The 21,612-nt window shown below is 38.9% G+C and overlaps 1 protein-coding gene across 5 annotated transcripts in view, besides 1 other annotated feature; it reads right to left on the minus strand.

Annotated features, from left to right (window-relative positions):
* FAF1 (Fas associated factor 1) overlaps positions 1–21,612 on the minus strand; it is a 523,240-nt gene that overhangs the window by 163,363 nt on the left and 338,265 nt on the right. The window lies entirely within an intron of this gene.
* Positions 2,956–4,155: an enhancer, noted in NCBI's record as "MED14-independent group 3 enhancer chr1:51069018-51070217 (GRCh37/hg19 assembly coordinates)". NCBI's record gives its function as "activates an origin of replication core promoter dependent on BRD2, BRD4, P300/CBP and CDK7 cofactors, and independent of MED14, by STARR-seq in HCT116 cells {active_cell/tissue: HCT116}" and the evidence as "EXISTENCE:reporter gene assay evidence [ECO:0000049][PMID:35650434]".

Below are 21,612 nucleotides of genomic sequence, written 5' to 3' on the forward strand. Positions count from 1 at the left end.
AAACTGTGAGGCAGACCAATGTATCTTACTGTGACAAAGTATTAATACAAAATGTATAGTGGTAGGGCTTCAGATTCTACATTGAAAGTAACATTTAGCTTTACCCGAGAAAGCTCCTTGCCACATATACACACACAAAAAAATTAAAATAAAAAAAATAAGACTAACCTTTAGGAAACTACCACTTCTCAAGTTCTAGTTTAGTATCAAAGAATAATATCTATAATTATTTGAAAAGACTATTAAAATACTCCTCCCTTTTCCAACTATAGATCTGTAGGAGGTCAGATTTTCTTCATATTTTCAATCAAAAAAATTCATTACAACAGGTTAAATGCAGAAGAAGGAAGACACGAAAATCCAGTTGTCTTCTATTAAGACAGACATTAAAGAGATTTGTAAAAGTATAAAAACAGTGTCACTTTACTTACTGAATTTTTAGAAAATATAATTACTTTGTATAAAAATGCTATTTATATTAACATGTAATTCACTTGTTATCTTAAATATTATTTTCTTCAATATTAATTTTTAGAATGGTAAATGTCAATGAATATAATCCACATAAACAAAAGCTCTCTGGGGTCTTTGATGATTTCTTTACAAGTGCAAAAGGATCCTGAGACCAAAAAGCTGTGAACTGCTGAACTATGTAATGTGTACATATGCAACTAATTTTCATGAATAATGACAACTATTACTTGAAACAACTGAGAAGACAAAAAAGCTCTTTCAAAATCTTAGAATCTTTTCGATGTTTCTTCTTTACACAATAAACAAAGCATATAGTATTTTCTTTGTATTATTCTTTATGTTATTCTTCACATGAAAATAAAATACTAGGACAATATGCAAAGGAAAACTCCAGTAAACCATCATGACTGATCTCTGGCTATGTCTAACAAGTTGTTAGTAAAACACAGTATTATCATGTTAAGCTTGGTCCTCAGAGCATTTAAGGCCATTCTTAATACTTCTTTCTTTAAAAATATGAATTAGTAGGCTGGGCGTGGTGGCTCGGTGTGAGACACCTGTAATTCCAGCACTTTGGGAGGCCAAGGAGGGCAGATCACTTGAGGCCAGCAGTTCGAGACCAGCCTGACCAACGTGGTGAAACCCCGTCTCTACTAAAAATACAAAAACTAGCTCGGCATGGTGGCGGGAGCCTGTACTCTCAGGCACTCGGGAGGCTGAGGCAGGAGAACTGTTTGAACCCGGGAGGCAGAGGTTGCAGTGAGCTGAGATTGAGCCGCTGCACTCCAGCCTGGGTGAGACTCAGTCTCAAACAATACATATATATTCATATATATATATATACACACACACACTATATATATTCATATACACACATATATTCATATATACACATATATATTCATATGTATACATATATTCATATATACATATATTCATATACATATGAATTAGTTCTTCAAAGTATTTTTTATTTTATAGCCAAATTTTAACCCTCCCCAAATACATGCTTGCAGTCTGTCTTTTTTTCTAATTATAAATGACAAAGAATAAGACATTTTAAGAGTATTGGAAGCTATAAAACCTGTTATGGGACCTTGGGTCAGTAACCAAGAGTCTTAACATCTCCTTTTGTAAAATATAGGTACGACCAACTAAATGGCCTCTCAGATCCCTTCTAGCCCTAATGGGCTATGATCTTCATACATCACTAAGGAGATTTGGTTATGTCACCTGCAGACTCCTTGCTCTGCATGTGACACACCCAGTAACACAAGTGAACGAGATTCAAACTACAGCTTTACTGTTTTTATCTTTTATTCACTCAGTTTGTAAAATACAATTCTCTTGTGTTTTAAGAAGAACAATTAATATGAGACATTTTTTAAAAACCATATCTCAAGCTTGTCATCGTCCTCACAAGACACTGATGTAATTTCATCCAGATTTGGGAATGCTACCGGATATTAGCACTGACTACACTGCACTGATGATCTTTTTAATCTGTGTATTTGTATGTCAAGATGTATCCAACTGTACACTTAAAAAATGTATGGTTTATTACAGGTCAATTATACTTCAATAAGGCAGTATTCAGTGCTATTAATATATGCATTTATATCCTCATATAAAGTATTGCTTTTTTTTTTTTTTTTTGAGACAGAGTCTCACTCTGCCACCCAGGCTGGAGTGCAGTGGTGTGATCTCAGCTCACTGCAACCTCCGTCTCCCAGGTTCAAACGATTCTCCTGCCTCAGCCTCCTGAGTACCTGGGACTACAGGTGCATGCCACCAAGTCCGGCTAATTTTTGTATTTTTGTAGAGATGGGGTTTCATCATGTTGCCCAGGCTGATCTTGAACTCCTCACCTCAAGTGATCTGCCCGCCTCGGCTTCCCAAAATGCTGGGATTACAGATAGGAGCCACCTCACCCAGCCTAAAGTATTGCTTTTTGACATATATATACATACACCCATGAAACCATTCCGTATTTTAAAAAGCAGTTGTATAATAACTGCTACTATTAAGAGCTCAGTATGTATTGTTATTACACAAAGTGCTTTACACGCACTACCCCACTTAATTCTCACAATAACTCTGCCAGGTAAGGATTATAATCCCCACTTTAGAGATGAGGTTACTAAATCTCACACAGAATAAGAAGGTTGCCCAAAGTCAAACAGGTACTGACTGGTGAACCAAAATTAAAACTCAGGCACTTTATCTCACAACCATTTAAAAAGTATCCAATCGAACAACTATTAAGGCTCTAAGATATCTTGTCTTACTATCTGATAACCAGTAATTACTTTCTTTGGCTTAATTAAAACAGCTACTCCTAGATACCATCCATTAGTCAGAAACTACATAGTAAGTGCTTAACATATGTCTACCATACATGACAACTCTGTAAATTAAAGACTATCGTGATTGTACAAATCATAAAACAACCTTAGAGTAGTGGAGTAACCTGTCCAAGATAAATCAGGTACCAGATGGCAAACCAGATTTAACTCCAAAAGCCATGGAGTTTTCTATTACATCACATTTCCAACGTAGATAAGGTTTTTTATAGTAAGGAGTCCTGAAGATGACTTCTAGAATACCCCTTTTAAATTTTCAGATGCTTACTGTTCAGCTAAATAGATTACTGAGGTAGTTTTAAACCGAACTGAGTCATGAGGCTAAAATTTCATTTACTGCCAACCAAAGCGCAACTCTAAAAAGCTTATTTTTATTCACAATCCGAGGTTTCTTCTGCCCTTCCCCCAGCCATTTTTTTTGTCACTTATGTGCTAGAAAAGTCACACAGAGCTTTAATTTGTGGCAGGTTGAAGCAAGCTTATCAAGAATGCTAGTTACCAAGTGTACATGCACTTGTCTGGACTAGCCCACTGCCACATTCTTGTAGCAGGGTTAAACAGCAGTTTAGTCACCTCATAAAAAAGCACACTGTTAAAAAGGAAGTGACTAATAATATTCTGGAACCAACAGAATATTAAAAGACATGTGCAGGTCAAGATCAATTATCAACAAAACTCCTGTGTAAATAGCTCAAAAAACTGTGTTCTCTGCCTGGCCTTGCTGCGTTATAGTCCTCAATTGATTTGGCAAGTTGGTAAAGTTTAATGAAATAAACACCAACAGTTACAAGTTCTCAGGCTTTTTGCTATGTACATAAACACAAACACTACCATGTAAGCAACCGGAGCTGGAAGAAACAAGGATGGCTGCTATACATGGCTTCATTTTACACACAAGATACTAGATTTGGAAGAGTCCTCAGAATTCATCAGTTGCTTGTATCCCAACCAGGAGATCTTGAAGCCTTAGCTGAGTCAAGTGCTACTGCCATATCTTCCACCACTCAGCATCTCCCTTGCCCCATTCCAAGCTAGTAATAAGAATTTCCAGAGAGAAGGTATCAGCAGCCTTCTCTTAAACTTCTATCAGTGATCCCACCATCCCCAACAGATTCCAAATGAAAGGCAGTTTCTCCTCACAAGATAAGGGTCTAATCCTCTCACTTAACAGGAAAAGAAACTGAGGTATAGAGAGGTAAAGTGTTTGTCCCAAGTCTCACATCTGCTTAATGATAGCACAAGCATGTTCTCTTCTTGACTCCTAATCTCGGTTTTTCTTTTTCTTCTTTTTTTGTTTTTTGAGACAGTCTTGCTTTGTTACCCAGACTGGAGTGCAGTGGTACAATCACGGCCGACTGCCACCTCGATCTCCCAGCATCAAGCAATCCTCCCACCTCAGCCTCCTGTGTGGCTGAGTCTGCAGGTGCATGCTGCCATGCCCAGCTAATTCTTTAATTTTTTGTAGAAATGAGGGTCTCCTTATTTTTTGTAGAGATGGAGTCTCATCATGTTGCCCAGGCTGGTCTTGAGCTCCTGGGCTCCCCCTTTTGGCCTCTCAAAGTGCTGGGATTACAGGTGTGAGCCACCACACCCAGCCAGCTATGTGTTTTTTAAAGATGTTACAGTTAATTGTAAAATACTAACAAATATCTTGATTTAATTATCTCATATTTTCTTTTTAAAAGCTTTTGGAAATATATATAGTAATTTTAAATGCTCCTGACTTACTTTTTTGGTTTCTTTCATTTAATCTGGTGGGACTCTCAAAATCAAGGAGAATCACCTGATGCTATTTTCCACATTATAATTACCCACTTTTATGCTTCCTTATACTGTCCCAACATTATCTTGAGATTTTGGCTATCAAACAGAGGTTGCTCAATATAAAAGGTTTTTTTGTTTGTTTGTTTTTTTAATCTTCTAGGGCATTTCATCCCCTAAAACCAGATTATGTCATAGCGAGATAAAGAGCTGCTCACTGTAACAGAATTAGCACAATTTCTAAATGGATATGCTTTTATAACTAAACACAGACATCAATATTCTTGTACTTCATTACTTATTGATTTTAGTGAGTACACTAGAAGAGGTTCTGAAGTATTTTACGTCATTAAAATACTTCTGAAGAGCATTAAGTTACACAATAAGAAATACAACCCAGACCAGCCTAACACTGTCTAATGGCATAGTCCCTCATACCTTTTTAGAGAGAATGGTCAACTTTACCTATATAAAAAAGTACTATCCTCAGGTAAGTAAGTGCTCAAGATGTTATTTGTAAGGCAACTTTAAACCAAAGTTATTTCAGCTCAATCAAGAACTCTGTTTCAAAGTCAACTTTTTTTTTTTTTCACAGAGGCCAATAATCCACACTGTGAATTAAAATAGCCCTTCTTTCACAGTTCCTATCACTACAGCTTTATGCCATTTAGTTGCTTATGAGCACCCTCTGGTGGAGGGCAGAAGAGGGAAAAGAACATATTAAACACATTGCCTATAACCAGTAAGAAGGGTGAGGGGGAAAGAGAGATCTGGAATATGTGCAGATTTCTCTTGACTCTGCTTTTCTTCCTCATATTATTTGATAATTTAGAACTATTTGTTGAATGTTATACTAACCATATAGTTACTCAGAGTTGATAACTTATTCAATAAATATTAAGTTATTATATGTCAGGCACTTGGATCCAAATAACCTGGCCTTGGAGCCAGGCTTTGATAACTAATGTCATTTCTCAGGAAAGCTGCTTATCTCAAAACATCTCAGTTTCCTTGTCTGAGAAATGGGAATAATATCTTTGTTGACAGCAATAAAGAGATAAGTGAAAAAATATGTAGCATAGTGGACTAGATTTTCAACTTTAAAAAAATAAAAATCACACACCACCTCATCTTTGTGTCCTTGCCAGAAGGATTATCATATAGGTGTTTTCAGTTGCAATGCCCAATTATTTTTAAGAATCTAAGCCTAGATGACAGAATTGGTATCATTTAAGTATTTTATATCAACTTATGTCAATTAAATTTAACTGTATTAGTATATGTTCTAAAACATATAACAACCAAATATATTATTCAGTCTTTTCCATACCAAAGATATCCAAATGATGCCGACCAATGTTAAAGAAAAATTTCTTCCTAAGTGAACAAATTTAAATTATAAAGAGAGAAGGGTTTCTTATCATTTCCCACATAACATTCTTGTGAGTGCCAACCTGTGGAGAGCATTTTTGTTTAGATATATTGTAGCTGTGAGAGTTGCTTTTTTTTTTTTTTTTTTTTTTTTTTTGAGACGGAGTTTCACTCTTGTTGCCCAGGCTGGAGTGCAATGGCACGATCTCAGCTCACCACAACCTCCGCCTCCCAGGTTCAAGCGATTCTCCTGCTTCAGCCTCCCGAGTAGCTGGGATTATAGGGATGCGCCACCACACCTGGCTAATTTTTTTGTATTTTAGTAGAGACGGAGTTTCTCCATGTTGGTCAGGCTGGTCTCGGACTTCTGACCTCAGGTGATCCGCCCACCTCGGCCTCCCAAAGTGCTGGTATTACAGGCGTGAGCCACCGCGCCTGGCTGAGCTGTGAGGGTTTCTAAGGGCCCATATCTTATATCACTCATTACCTGCTTACGACTGGGAATTTCGAAAGGATACATTACATAGCCATGTCCAAAAGTGGAACTTGCTCCAGGTTTCCCATTCAATTCCTGCGAGAGGAACTAAACCAAAATTGAGAGAAAGAACAACAGGCTATTGGAGGCAAAAATAACAACAACAAAAACAAACAAACAAACAAATGAAAAACTAAAAAGGTATCTCTGTCTGCTGCAATGACTTTGAGGGACCAGTTAAGCCTCCTGAGAACATTTAGCTTAAAAACATTTAACTAGCCTGTAAGCCACCTTTTTTTTTCCTGTTGCCACCATTAAAGCAAAGCAAAAATTGTTCTTTTACATCTTTAGGCTTCATGGTGCCCTTGTATGACTCCTTTCTGCCATAAGTCAGCCTGTGGTATGATTCCAGGTGTGTAAATACTTGGGAAAAACACTATATATAGAGCAAAGGACCTGGGTTAAAACTCTAAATCTGCCTCTTATTCATTCTGTGACCTTGATCGACTTTCTTCTCTAAGTTTTATCACCTGTATGATGAAAAAATTGGACTAGATGATTCTCATGTTTTCTCTCACCCTGAAAACTTTTTCAGTCTGATGTTCAAGGCCATAACCCTGCCCACCTTTCCAGCCATTACCTCCCACTATTTTTGTATACAGGTTTCTTTGCTCAATGATCCAAAAATGTGCCTTGCATGTGCCTACTCTTAGGCTTCTGCTCAGTCCATTACTCTTGCCTGGGTTTCCCTCACCATTCTTTTCCATCTGTCTATTTCTTAGGCATGTGAACATAATATGAGGAAAATTTAAGTGACAAAACTTCTTCAAAACTCAGCTCAATCTCTTTCTGAAAGCCTTCTATATGACCTCCCCAATTTCACATTTTTCTGTCTCCAAAACACTTGGTATCTTTTGGTAGTCAATCATATCCAGTGACACTCGGACAAATCTTCCAGATAAACCTCATTTATTCAGCTAGTTCCTAAGGGGAGACCCAGAATCCCAGGTGGGAACTGAGTAGACAGAGGCAATGTGGATGTCACAGTGATGCAGGGCAGGCGAGTCCCAAAACTAGGGCTTAGCACAGAAGGGTTCTTGGCTTTGCCCAGAAAAGAATTCAAGGGTGGACCAGAGGTGTTAAGACAGCAACTTTTATTGAAGTGGCAGTGTACAACAGTAGCAAAGCTACTGCTCCTTGCGGAGCAGGGCTCCCCCATAGGCAGTGTGCTCAGAGTAGCAGCTCAAAGGCTGTTCTGCAGTCATATTTATACCTGCTTTTAATTACATGCAAATTAAGGGGTGGTTATGCAGAAATTTCTAGGAAAAGGGGGATAACTTCTGGGTTGTTTAGTTGTTGACATGGAAAGGGGCAGTAACTTCTGGGTGTTCCCATGGTAATGGTAAACAGACATGGCACAATGGTGGACATGTCTTATGGAAAGCTGCTTTTGCCCTGTCCCTATTTTAGCTAGTCCTCAATTTGGTCAGGTGCCTGAGCCCTGCCTCTGGAGTTCAGTCCCGCCTTGCACCTCAATAGACAAAGGTTTTACATGAGTGGGTCAGGAACTGGACCCAAAGGAGGGGAAAGCCAAATTCCTAGAGATCAAAACTCTGTCATCCTACATCTTTGGAAGTCTGCCCAGGCCATAACCATGTATGACATTTCTGTTCTGTTCACTAGGGAAATGGTAATCCTAAGAGAGGCTGCAACATTGCTTCAATGAGTACAACGGATGAGGGGACCTGCTGTCCTAGGAGGGGAGGGGAAGAAGTAGTGTCTTACTGAAGAAGGAGAAGTCCTACCCCAAAATGTCTCCCCCTATCTCTCAAATCATTTGTATCACTGACAACGAAGTATCTGGAAAAATGTGTCATTGTAAGGTAACTTCTTTGGTAGGTAGATGTCACTATACTTCGTTGCAGAGGTATAAAAGCAGAGCAATTATGAACTTGGACTCCAAAGCCATTCTTCTAGGGTTTGAAATCCTGGCTCTGCTGGTTAAGAGCTTGTATGACTCTGGACAACTCTCTCACCTTCTCAGTGCCTTAATTTCCACCTCTGTAAAGTCTTATAAGTTACAAGATTGTTGTGAAGATTCAAGAGTATGTGTATCTGAATCTGTCTATCAACCAATATATCTATCTATGCTTGACTGTATGAATGTTGCTAAATCACTCTGGGGGAACAGACAGACAGTACTATAAGTAGAGTGCAAAATACCATTATCCACTCACTTAACTAATAGTTACTGAACAACCACAATGTGTCAAGACCTCAGCTGAGTGCTAGAGATAGAGCCAATGGTGAACAGTTTCTGCTTTGATAAAGCCAATAATTTTCCAGGCTTTAGGTTTGTGAATAAAGTATAGATCATGCTAGTTCTATTTTATGCTATTCTGCCTAATCCTTGTTATTCCCTCTTAGTAAGAATGAACCTGGCATAGCTTGCCACACCGCCATTTCACAGACAAGAAAAATGAGGCTCATATTTTCACCCAGGGTCGATCACAGACCTAACAGACAGCAAAACTGAGTCAGAACTAACTTCATCTCTAGTATTTATTTGAGGCAAGGTCTCACTCTGTCACCCAGGCTGGAGTGCAGTGGCTTGATCACAGCTCACCACAGCCTTTACCTCCCAGGCTCCAACAATTTTTCCACTTCAGCCTCCTGAGCAGCTGATACTACAGGCACATGCCACCACATCTGGCCAACTTTTTTTAAATTTTTAGTAGAGTCTTGCTATGTTGCCCACACTGGTCTCGAACTCCTGGGCTCAAGCAATCCTCCTACCTTAGCTTCCCAAAGTGCTGGGATTACAGGTGTGAGCTACTGCGCCTGAAGATTCCCAGCTTTTAAAAATGACATCATCTCCACCTGAAACATAAACCAACCAGGCTGACTTGTCAAGCTTTTAATTTTGGGGATGCAGGAACATGGTGAAGTTGAATTATGGAAAAAAAAAAAAAGTTAAGTCATTAGATTGCCCAAAATATAACTATATTTTAAGACCATGAAAAGAATAAAGAGAACAACTTATGTTGCAAAACCACGTTTCACCTGTTTACTCCCCCACACCCCCACAGTTAGCTTCTATAGCCAGGAAATTTATAAACAAAAATCTCACTTTAACTTTTCTATACTCTACTCAGGTCAGGCAAACATAGTCATTAGTGATTTGAATTAGTTTGCTAAATAAATTAAAGTATACTTTTAAAAGACAGCTGTCAAAGAAAAAGACAATGGATTGTGTTTGGAGAACAGATTAAAAAACATTGATCAAATCTTCCGTGGTTCTTACTGTACTCCAATACAGTGGGGTTCATATGATGACTTGCAGGTCATTCAGCTCATTCAAATATATGTATTACCTGTTTCATATATGATCCATATGATGATATGTTCAATACACTGAATACCTCTCAAAGAAACTGAAAACCAAACTTTCAAGCATTTTTCTAATTGTGGAAGTATCCTTTCCCAAAAGAGAACATAATTTTCTACACATTACTTGAGATTTCACACCATAATGGCTTACCACAAAAAGAAGCATGGAAAAAGTTTTCTGTTATTAAAACTACTTAAATATCAAAAAGAAACCATGTTAAAATAAAAACAAATGCATGTTTTTCAACAATTTATATTTCACGTTAATTGTTATTGTTGTTATTGTTTAATTAGGCTGTATGAAAATATCTCTTGAAAGGTATTTAGAAGTTTATACTAAATGGGTGAAAAATCTATCTTGGATGCAATGTGCTCAGGTTATAAAAGCATCAGTGCTTATTTTATCTCCCCACAAAGTGTCGCTGAGATAATTACTGCTGACAGCTTTATTCAAGGTTCATTTCACTTTTTCTGCTGTTTTTCTCGGTTAGAAGTTCAAGAGAGCCCATGGGAAGCCACACCCCTCACACCTGTTAGGCTTCTTCATGTTACAGAGGGCCAGTATGGACATGTCACTTCAAATTAGCATTGTACCAAGGCACTAGCTGTGACAATTACTTATCACAGGTTTAACTAAAGAAAAAAAAAGTTTCTAATTCAACCACAAAAACAGTGTCACAAAATGTAATTTAAACCTGTAAAAGCAGGTTGCATAAAAAACATTCAGAGAGCTACAAAATAGGTTCCCAGGGTTGAGCTTTGTGCAGCATCTGAATTATGCAGGAATGCTATACAAGTGAACATTTCCTTTAAAACAAAATCAAACCAAAAAGGTAAACAAGGCAGCACCAGCAATTACACTTTACCAGCCAGCAATGGTGATGAGTGGGCCTCTTTAAATTTACTTCATTGTGCTGGAGTATTTGATTCACTTTGTTAATTCTTTTGTGTCAAGTTACTAATTCAATAATGAAATTTCCAGTTAAAGCAAAGCAGCTACTTTTAGACTTATGAAAGACTTAGCTTTGTATTAGGGAGAAAGAATTTTCTTCTAATATTTGCTTTTTTCCACTTACAAACCAGAAAATTATCATTAGACAAGGTAGATATTAACACAAAAAGAAAAAGGAAAAACCTCACACCCTTAAATGTGCTTCAAGCTAGTTATTATAAGCCTCTCTGTTTCAAGTGCAAAATAATCTCAAAATTATGCCACCTCTGAAAGACCTAGGATAGTTGGAGGTAGTTAATATGGACTGCTGTGAGGCTAATTGTGGATCTTGAGTTAATTACTTTCTGCGGATAGCAGATTTTAAAAATAAATAAGATGGTCTTTTACTCCATTTTTACTTCAATTTAAACTCAAGGAAACATGAGATGATGATGGTTAAGCTCTGAATACTTCATTATTTGCTGCTGCTATTTAGATGAAGACCCAGAAAGTCTGAGAAATATGTCCACATCATAATCAATGCTAATGTTCACTAGGAAAACAGGAGTGGACAGATACGTATTTTTCACAATGCACAATTTGATTCACAAATACCCACCGTACATTACTTGGTCAGAGTTAACAGGAATTAACTGTCATTTCTCACCCCCCACCAACCTCCCCACATACCCACACACGTATATACACATGCACAGGCTGGAGGACACAAGGCAGAGCTCATGGAAACTGGCTTTGAAACAGAAAGTGTTAAACACATGAAAAGCAAAGGGCAAAATAATGACGCTGAGCAGGAAATTCAACAGAAGAAATTGCTTGTTTGTAGAAAATCACACATATTGGTGAACGAAAACAGTTCGATGGTAATCTTGTTATGGCCACATAATTTCAGTATCTTAATAGTTTGAAAAATTTAAAAACCATCATACACAGGAAAAGTGCATTATTAGAAATGTAACATTTTCTGAAGATATTTTTCTTCATTTTCCTAACATTTAGATAGTCACATTAACAAAAGCATATAAAGTCAACACATGATATATTGATTATAACAGTCTAGGATCTTATCAAAACAAGCCCTTTGCCTTATTCTACAATCACAACAAATTCAGAGAATCAAGACGAAATCTTCAGTTACAATGAAAAGGTTATTTTACCTCAAGCAGATTCCTCATTTTATTATAAGTTTGATAAATAAAGAGGTTCCGTTAGTGGAGAAACCTCATTATTTTAGAGAGCTACTGTATTAATCAGTGGTCATTTCAGCTCATCATAACCACAGAACCTTCAAATATGCAAGGATACATCTCAAGCCTGCTTTGTATGCATGAAGGGTACCAACGAGCCACTTGGCTCATGTCTAGTCAATAGTGAGATGCCATTTACCCCTCAACACTGTGGAACTCTTTGGATAGCAAATATAAGAGCTCTGGATATTTTTCCAGCAGCATCTAATTCCTTGGCAAAACCTAGGCAGTCATGCTAACAACTTTGGTCTCGGGACATGGACATAGTGCTGCTGGGCATCTTGTCCTGGCTTTTCCTCCTAGGAAAAAAGAGTCTGAATTAACTATACCATGTTAGGCACACCAGCATAAATGGGTACTATCTAGAAACAAGAAAAAGTAATTTCACCTTGCCAGTTAATCCTTGCTGGCTCAGCCTAGCCAAGTAATTTTTTTCCTTCTGCTCAACTCTTAAAACCGTTATTGTGAAGCTCTAGAATTAGTGTTTTGTGATTTAAAAGAACTACAACTTTCATTGTATCTGTGTTTAGGTGACTCTAAGGTCCTTGAAGACACAGCCTGGATCTTATATTCTCATTTTTAGCTGCCATGGGGCTCTTAGTAGGTTGCTTTGTATATGCCATGCAATAAATGTCTAATGCTCTAACTTATATGGGTACTTTTCCTACTTTCCTTGCCAAGATAAAATATGAAAGACTTGTAATTTTCTAGAGAAATATATAACCTACCTAGTCCTATAATCCAAGGCCTGGAAACCACTCCAAAGTGAGATAAACACTAAAAACTATCATTAGAGTTTAAATAACTATCTGATTGACATCTGGGCCTCAGTGAAAAGTATAAGGTTCAAAAGCATTCTGACATGATATGGCATATTAAATTTAATTCAGTAGTCACAAAGACTTAAAACTACCAATCAAAATATGCAAAATAAAGACCAAATTTACCTTCAACATAATTTGAACTTACGCATCTTCATTTTTTGACAGACATACTGTTTTCATTTCATACTTAATGTTCCTGTATAATTAGCTTTGCATTCTAATGTATTTCATCTCTGTGGACTTCATGGGAATTACAGTAATCCAAATGTCATTCAGCTCTACGTTGTAAGACATGATTGCTCTTAAATTTATGAGGATGAATAATGTAGCTAATAAAAACATTTTCAAATTTATAATGTATATTAAACATTAAAAAAATCCAACAGATTTGAAATGTCTCACATAAGAATAATACACAAGGAATTATACTTTTTAGGACTCCCACTCAAGTAAATACAAGAAATAGTAAGTAATCACTCAATATACATGTGTTTATTTACTGGTTCTTATATATACACATGCATTGCAAGAAAAATCTTTTATATTAAAAAAACAAACAAACAAAAAAACCAGGCAGGGCATGGTGGCTCACACCTGTAACCCCAGCACTTTGGGAGGCCGAGGCGGGCAGACCTCAAGGTCAAGAGATCAAGACCGTCCTGGCCAACATAGTGAAACCCTGTCTATACTAAAAATACAAAAATTATCCGGGCGTGGTGGCACGTGCCTGTAATCTCAGCTACTTGGGAGGCTGAGGCAGGAGAACTGCTTGAACCTGAGAGGTGGAGGTTGCAGTGAGTCGGGATTGTGCCACTGCATTCCAGCCTGGCAATAGAGTGAGACTCTGTCTGAAAAAAAAAGAAAAAAAACACACACAAAAAAACCAAGAGACAAAAATGGGAAAACCCTCAGATCCAAAACTCTTTTCAAAAATATTTTGGCACATGGTAAAAGAATGATCCATTCCCAAGACAAGCATGTATTCTATGGGCAGACTCATACCTGCAGCACTTATTTACGTCAATGCCACAAATCTGAAAGCTGTGAAGTGTTAACTCTTCAAACCAGGCAGAAACTATTGTTGTGTACTACTAAGTCCGATTATTCAAAAAACTAGTTTACCTGTAACTTCAAGCTGAATAAATGTATTGAAATATTAGAGTTAAGGGGGGAAAAAAAAGAATGTTTATGTGAGTGTAAAAAAACAAAAACTGCAAAATATTTTCTAGAGACTGGGAATAAATCATTTTATAAATTATTTTGATCAACACATAGTAATATTAGAAATCTTCCTTTAAAAACAAAACAAAATGGGCTGGGCACGGTAGCTCACACCTGTAATCCCAGCACTTTGGGAGGCCAAGGTGGGCGGATTACCTAAGGTCAGGAGTTCGAGACCAGTCTGACCAACATGGAGAAACCCCATCTCTACTAAAAATACAAAATTAGCTGGGCGTCATGGTGTATGCCTGTAATCCCAGCTACTAGGGAGGCTGAGGCAGGAGAATCACTTAAACCTGGGAGGCAGAGGTTGCAGTGAGCCGAGATCGCGTCATTGCACTCCAGCCTGGGCCGCAACAGCGAAACTCCGTCTCAAAAAAAAAAAAAAAAAAAAGTTTCCCAGCAAAATGAGAAAAAAAATGACATGAGAATGTGAGCATGATTTATTTTTATTTTTTAAATTTCAACTTTTATGTTAGACACAGGGAGTACATGTACAGGATTTTTACATGGGTATATTGCACCCAGGTAGTGAGCATACTACCCAATAGGTAGTTTTACAACCCACACCCTCCCTCCCTGCTCTAGTAGTCCACAGTGTCTACTGTTCCCATGTTTATGCCCATGTGTGCTCAGTGTTTAGCTCCCACTTGTAAGTGAGAACACACAGTGTTTGGTTGTCTGTTCGTGCATTACTTAGCTTAGGTAATGGCCTCCAGCTCCATCCAGGTTGCTGCAAAAGATATGCTTTCATTCTTTTTCCAGGCAGCATAGTATTCCATGGTGTATATGTACCACATTTTCTTTATCCAATCCACCACTGATGTCCACCTAGGTTGATTCCATGTCTTTGCTATTGTGAATAGCACTGCAAGTGTCATTTTGGTACAATAATCTATTTGCTGGGGAGGGGCTGTATATACCCGTAATGGAACTGTTGGGTTGAATGGTAGCTCTGATTTAAGTTCTTTGAGAAATCTCCAAACTGCTCTCCATAGTGACTGAACTAATTTACATTACCACTAACAGTATGTAAGTGCTCCCTTTTCTATGCAGTCTTGCCAGCATCTACTGTTTTCTGACTTTTTAATATAGTCATTTTGTCTGGTGTGAGATGGTATCTCATTGTGGTTTTAATTTGCATTCCTCTGATGATTAGCATTTTTTCATATGTTTGTTAGCTGCTTATATGTCTTCTTTTGAGAAATGTCTGTTTATATCCTTTATCCATTTTTTAATGGGCTTGTTTTCTGCTTGTTTGTTTCAGTTCCTTACAGATTTTTGGATATAGAATTTTTGTTGGATGTAGAGTTTGAAAGTATTTTCTCCCATTCTGTATGTCATTTACTCCGTCAATAGTTTATTTTTCTGTGCAGATGCTCTTTAGTTTAATTAGGTCCTACTTGTCAATTTTTGTTTTTGTTGCAACTGTTTTTGGGGACTAAGCCAAAAAAATCTTTGCCAAGGCCCTTATTGAGAAGGGTATTTCCCACGTTTTCTTCTGGGATTTTTATAGTTTGAGGTTTTACATTTAAATCTTTAATCCATCTTGAGATAATTTTTGTATATTATAAAATTTAAGGTGCCTAGTTCCATTCCTTTGCATATGGCTAGCCAGTTATCCCAGCACATTTATTGAAAAGGGAGTCCTTTCCACATTGCTTGTTTTGTTGGCCTTGTCAAAAATCAGATGGTTGTAGGTAAGTGACTTTATTTCTGAGTCTTCTATTCTGTTCCATTGGTCTATGTGTCTGTTTTTGTATCAATACCATGCTATTTTGGTTACTGTAGCCTTACACTTTAGTTTGAAGTCCCATTTTGTTCTTTCAGCTTAGTATTGCTTTGGGTATTCAGGCTCTTTCTAGGTTCCATATTAATTTTAGAATTTTTGTTTCTAGTTTAGTGAAAAGTAACATTGGTAGTTTGATCGGAATAACACAGAATCTGTATGTTGCCTTTGTCACTGTGGCCATTTTAATGATACTGATTCTTCCAATGCATGACTATGAATTGTTTTTCCATTTATTTGTCATCTCTGATTTCTTTCAGCAGTGTTTTGTAGTTCTCATTTTAGAGATCTTCCACCTCCTTGGTTAGTTGTATTCCTAGGTATTTCATTTTCTTTGTGGCTAATGTAAATGGGATTGTGTTCTTAGTTTGACTCTCAGCCTGGGTGTTACTGGTGTATAGAAATGCTACTGATTTTTGTATACTGATTTTTTTTTTTTTTTTTGAGACAGAGTCTCACTCTGTTGCCCAGGTTAAAGTACAGTGGCACAATCTTGGCTCACTGCAACCTCCACCTCCTGGATTCAAGTGATTCTTGTGCCTCAGTCTCCTGAGTAGCTGGGATTACAAGCATGCGCCACCATGCCCAGCTAATTTTTGTATTTTTAGTAGAGTCAGGATTTGGCCATGTTGGCCAGGCTGGTCTCAAACTCCTGACCTCAAGTGATCTGCCCACCTCTGCCTCCCAAAGTGCTAGGATTACAGGCATGAGCTACCGCACTCAGGCTGTACATTGATTTTATATCCAGAAACCTTGCTAAATTGTCTATCAGTTCTAGGAGCTTCTGGCAGAGTCCTTAGGGTTTTCTAGGTATAGAATCATATCATCAGCAAAGAGATACAGTTTGACTTCTTTTTCCATTTGGATGCCTTTCATTTCTTTCTCTTGCCTGATTGCTGTGGCTAGGACTTTCAGTACTATGTTAAATAGGAGTGGTGAGAGTAGGCATCCTTGTATTGTTCCAGTTCTCAAGGGAAATGGTCCCAGCTTTTGTCCATTCAGTATAATGTTAGCTGTGGGTTTGTGGTTAATGATAGATGGCTCTTATTATTTTGAGATATGTTCCTTCAATGCCTCATCTGTTGAGGGTTTTTATCAAGAAGTGATGTTCAGATTTTATCAAAAGCTTTTACTGCGTCTATTGAGATGATCATATGGTTTTTGCTTTTAATTCTGTTTATGTGGTGAATCACATTTATTGATTTGTGTATGTTAAACCAACTTTGCATCCCAGGGATAAAGCCTACTTAACTGTGGCGAATTAAGTTTTTGAGGTGCTTCCGGATTCAGTTTGCTAGTATTTTATTGAGGAGTTTTGCATCTTTGTTCATCAGAGATATTGGCCTTACTTCTCTTTCTTTATGGTCTCTGCCAGATTATAGTATTAGGGTGACGCTGGCCTCACAGCATGAGCTAGGGAAGGAGTCCCTCCTCTTCTGTTTTTTTTTTTTTTTTTTTAATAATTTCAGTAGCACTGATACCAGTTCTTCTTTAGGTGTCTGGCAGAATTCAGCTGTGACTCCATCTGGTCCAGTGCTTTTTTTGGTTGGCAAGTTTTTTATTATTTATTCAATTTCAAAGCTTGATACTCGTCTATTCAGGGATTCAATTTCTTCCTGATTCAACCTTGGGAGATTGTGTGTTTCCAGGAATTTCTCTATTTCCTCCAAATTTTCTAATTTGTGTGCATAGAGTTGTTCATAGTACTATGAAGATCTTTTGTATTTCTGTGGAATCAGTTGTAATGTCATCTTTGTCATTTCTGATTGTATTTATTTAGATCTTCTCTTTTTTCCTTTGTTAATCTAGCTAGTAGTCTATCAATCTTGCTTATTTTTTCGAAGAGCCAACTCTTGTTTTCATCTTTTGTATGGATGTTTGCATCTCAATTTCATCATGCACTTCTCCAATTTTGGTTCTTTTCTTCTGCTAGCTTTGGGGTTTATTTGTTCTTTTAGTTTTTTTAGGTTTAATGTTAAATTGTTAATTTTAGAGCTTTCTAACTAATTAATGAGGGTGTTTAGAGCTATAAACTTTCCTCTTAACACTGCTTTAGCTGCATCCCAGAGATTTTGGTAATTTTCGCTAATACTGGTGTTCACTCAGGAGTTATTCTGGAGCAAGTTGTTTAATATCCATCTGTTTGTGTAGTTTTTAGAGTTTTTTTTTTTTTTTTTTTTGTATTTTCAGTAGAGATGGGGATTTACCATGTTGGCCAGGCAGGTCTCGAACTCCTGACCTCAGGTGATCAGGCTGCCTCGGCCTCCCAAAGTGCTGGTATTACAGGCATGAGCCACCGCGCCCGGCCACCTAAATCTTTTTTAATGCCAAAAACTTGTTTTATGAATCTGGGTGCTCCAATGCTGGGTGAGCATATATTTAGGATAGTTAAGTCTTCCTGTTGTGCTGTACCCTTTATCATTACATAAGGCCCTTTATTGTCCTTCTTAATTTTTACTAACATTTGTTTTATCGAATATAAGAATAGCAAAGCTTGCTTTTTTTTTTTTTTGAGACAGAGTCTCACTCTGTCGCCCAGGCTGGAGTGCAGTGGCACACTCTCAGCTCACTGCAGCATCTGCCTCCTGGGTTCCAGCGATTCTTCTGCCTCAGCCTCCTGGGTAGCTGGGATTACAGGCGTGCACCACCATACCACCATGCCCGGCTGATTTTTGTATTTTTAGTAGAGACAAGGTTTCACCATGTTAGCCAGGCTGGTCTCGAACTCCTGACCTCATGTAATTCACCAGCCTTGGACTCCCAAAGTGCTAGGATTACAGGTGTGAGCCAGCACACCTGGCCCCTTGCTCTATTATGTTTTATTTCTGCGTGGTAGATCTTTCTCCATCCCTTTACTTTGAGACTGTGGGTGTCATTATGTGTGAGATGTGTCTCTTGAACACAACAGATGGTTGGGTCTTATCTTTTTATTCAGTTTGTCATTCTGTGTCTTTTAAGTGAGGCGTTTAGCCCATTTATATTCAAAGTTAGTACTGATATATGTGATTTTGATCCTGTCATTGTGGTGTTAGCTGGCTGCTATGTAGACCTGATTGTATAATTGCTTTTCAGTGTCTGTGGGCTATGTGCTTAAGTGTGTGTTTGTTGTAGTGGTATCATTCTTTTGATTCCAAGTTTAGTACTCCCAGAAGGACCTCTTATAAGGCTGGTCTATTTGAAACACATTCCCTCAGCATTTGCTTGTCTGAGAAGGATTTTGTTTCTCCTTCACTTATAAAGCTTAGTTTGCTGGGATATGAAATTCTTGGTTGAAATTTATTTAAGGATGCTGAATATAGGCCCCAAATCTCTTTTAGCTTGTAGGGTTTGTGCTCACAGGCCTGCTGCTAATGGGGTTGTCTAGCCTGATTGGGTTCTCTCTGTATATGACTTGACCATTCTCTCTAGCTGCCTTTAAGATTTTTTCTTTTACATTGACCTTGGTGAATCTGATGAGTACATGCCTTGGGGATGGTCGTCTCATATAGTATCTAACCAGGGTTCTCTGTATTTCCTGGATTTGCATATCAATTTTTGTAGTGAGATTAGGGAAATTTTCATGGACTATATCCTCAAATATATTTTCCAAGTTGCTTATTCTCTCTCCTTCTCTCTTAAAAATGCCAATGAATAGTAGATTTGGTCTCTCTCTCTCTTTTTTTTTTTTTTTTTGAGACAGAGTCTTGCTCTGTCTCCCAGGCTGGAGTGCAATGGCACAATCTCGGCTCACTGCAACCTCTGCCTTCCAGGTTCAAGCGATTCTCCTGCCTCAACTTCCCAAGTAGCTGGGACTACAGGTGCCCACCACTACGCCTGGCTAATTTTTGTATTTTTAGTAAAGACAGGGTTTCACTATGTTGGCCAGGTTGGTCTCGAACTCCTGACCTCATGATCCGCCCGCCTCGGCCTCCCAAAATGCTGGGATTATAGGCGTGAGCCACCGTGTCCAGCCTAGATTTGGTCTCTTAACATAATCCCACATTTCTTGGAGGTTTTGTTCATTGTTTTAAATTTTTTCTTTATTTTTGTCTGAATGAGTTGATTTGAAGAACCAGTCTTTGAGCTCTGAGAGTCTTTCCTCCTCTTGGTCTATTCTGTTGTTCATACTTGTATTGTATTATGAAATTCTTGTAGTAAACTTAGCAGCTCTAGAAATTCAGTTTGGTTCTTTCTTAAAATGACTATTTCATCTTTCAGCTCTTGGATCATTTTGCTAGATTCCTTGGATTGGGTTTCAATTTTCTCCTGAATCTCAATGCACTTCGTTGACATCCAGATTCTCAATTCTGTGTCTGTCATTGCAGTCATTTTGGAATGGTTAAGAACCATTGTTGGGAAACTAGTGGACTTGTCTGGAGGTAAGGGGACACTGGCTTTTTCAACTGCGAGAGTTCTTGTGTTGATTCTTTATGTGTGGGTGAATTCTTGCACTTGGTTTCACAGGTGTATATATTAGCAGGATAATTTTTGTTTTTGCAGTTTGAGCTGCGATCCAGTAGATGGTGCTTAAGAGTAATGGCCAGTAGCTAGGCAAATATCCAGCCACATAGATCTTTTGTACTTTCTTGCATTCTCAGGTGTGCTCTGTGGTGTGGGAGGGGAGGAGATGGCTCCCTCACCAGGTCTGCTTCTGAGCCTTGGGGGTGCCCCCTCCAGTCACTGGCACTGTGCCTGCATTTTCTTTTGTTAGGTGTTCCGGGCCATGGGGCCCCCTCAGGCAGAGGCTGGAGCAGGGAGATATGCCGCACACTTTCCGGACCAGCCCTGTGGAGGGAGGCACACCCTGCTCCTACCCTAGTTCTCAGTCCTCTGATGGTGGGGGCTCCTCCCCTGCTCAAGTGTTGGTCTTAGATCTTGGCTCCATACTCCTAAGCTACATGCCACAGCCCTGGAAGTACCAGGAAGTCCCACAGCTCAGGGTGGGGTTATGGCTGTGCTGGGGTTTCTGATGTGCTCCTGAGTCACTGGGAAAATACTCAGGTGGAACAATGCACTCTGGCTGGGCTGCAAAGGGGGTGCTGTGTACACGCTCCTGCAAGGCAGCTAGGAATGGGCCTTCGCAGGAGCCAGTGAGCAGGAGGGCTTGCAGATATGCCCCAGTCTTACGGGGAAGTTAGCCCCGATCTTTCTTTTTTTCTTTTTTTTTTTTTTTTTTTTTTTTTTGAGATGGAGTCTCACTCTGTAGCCCAAGCTGGAGTGTAGTGGCGGGATCTCAGCTCACTGCAACCTTCGCCTCTGGGGCTCAAGTGGTTCTCCTGCCTCAGCCTCCCAAATACCTGGGACTACAGGGGCGCACCACCACACAGTTAATTTTTTTGTATTTTTAATAGAGACAGGGTTTCACCATGTTGCCCTGGGTGGTCTCGAACTCCTGAGCTCAGGTGATCCACCCACCTCGGCCTCCCAAAGTGCTGAGATTACAGGAGTGAGGCACTGCACCTGGCCCAGCCCCGATCTTTCTTAGGTTGGAGGTTACCTGGGGCCAGCACCTCCTAGAGGAAGATGAGGAGCCCTGGAGGGTGGGTGTCTATGGCTAATCTCTGCCAGAGCTGACCAGCACACAAAAGCTCCTGGGCTCCATGCCGACCACACTCCTGTCTGTCTTGCTCCCTAGAAAGATTCCCCTGCTGGCCAGGCACAGTGGCTCACGCCTGTAATCCCAGCACTATGGGAGGCCAAGGCAGGCGGATGGCCTGAGGTCGGAAGTTCGAGACCAGCCTGGCCAGTATGGTGAAACCCAGTCTCTAC

The sequence above is a fragment of the Homo sapiens genome, chromosome 1 (assembly GCF_000001405.40).
Source record: "Homo sapiens chromosome 1, GRCh38.p14 Primary Assembly".
NCBI lineage: Eukaryota > Metazoa > Chordata > Mammalia > Primates > Hominidae > Homo > Homo sapiens.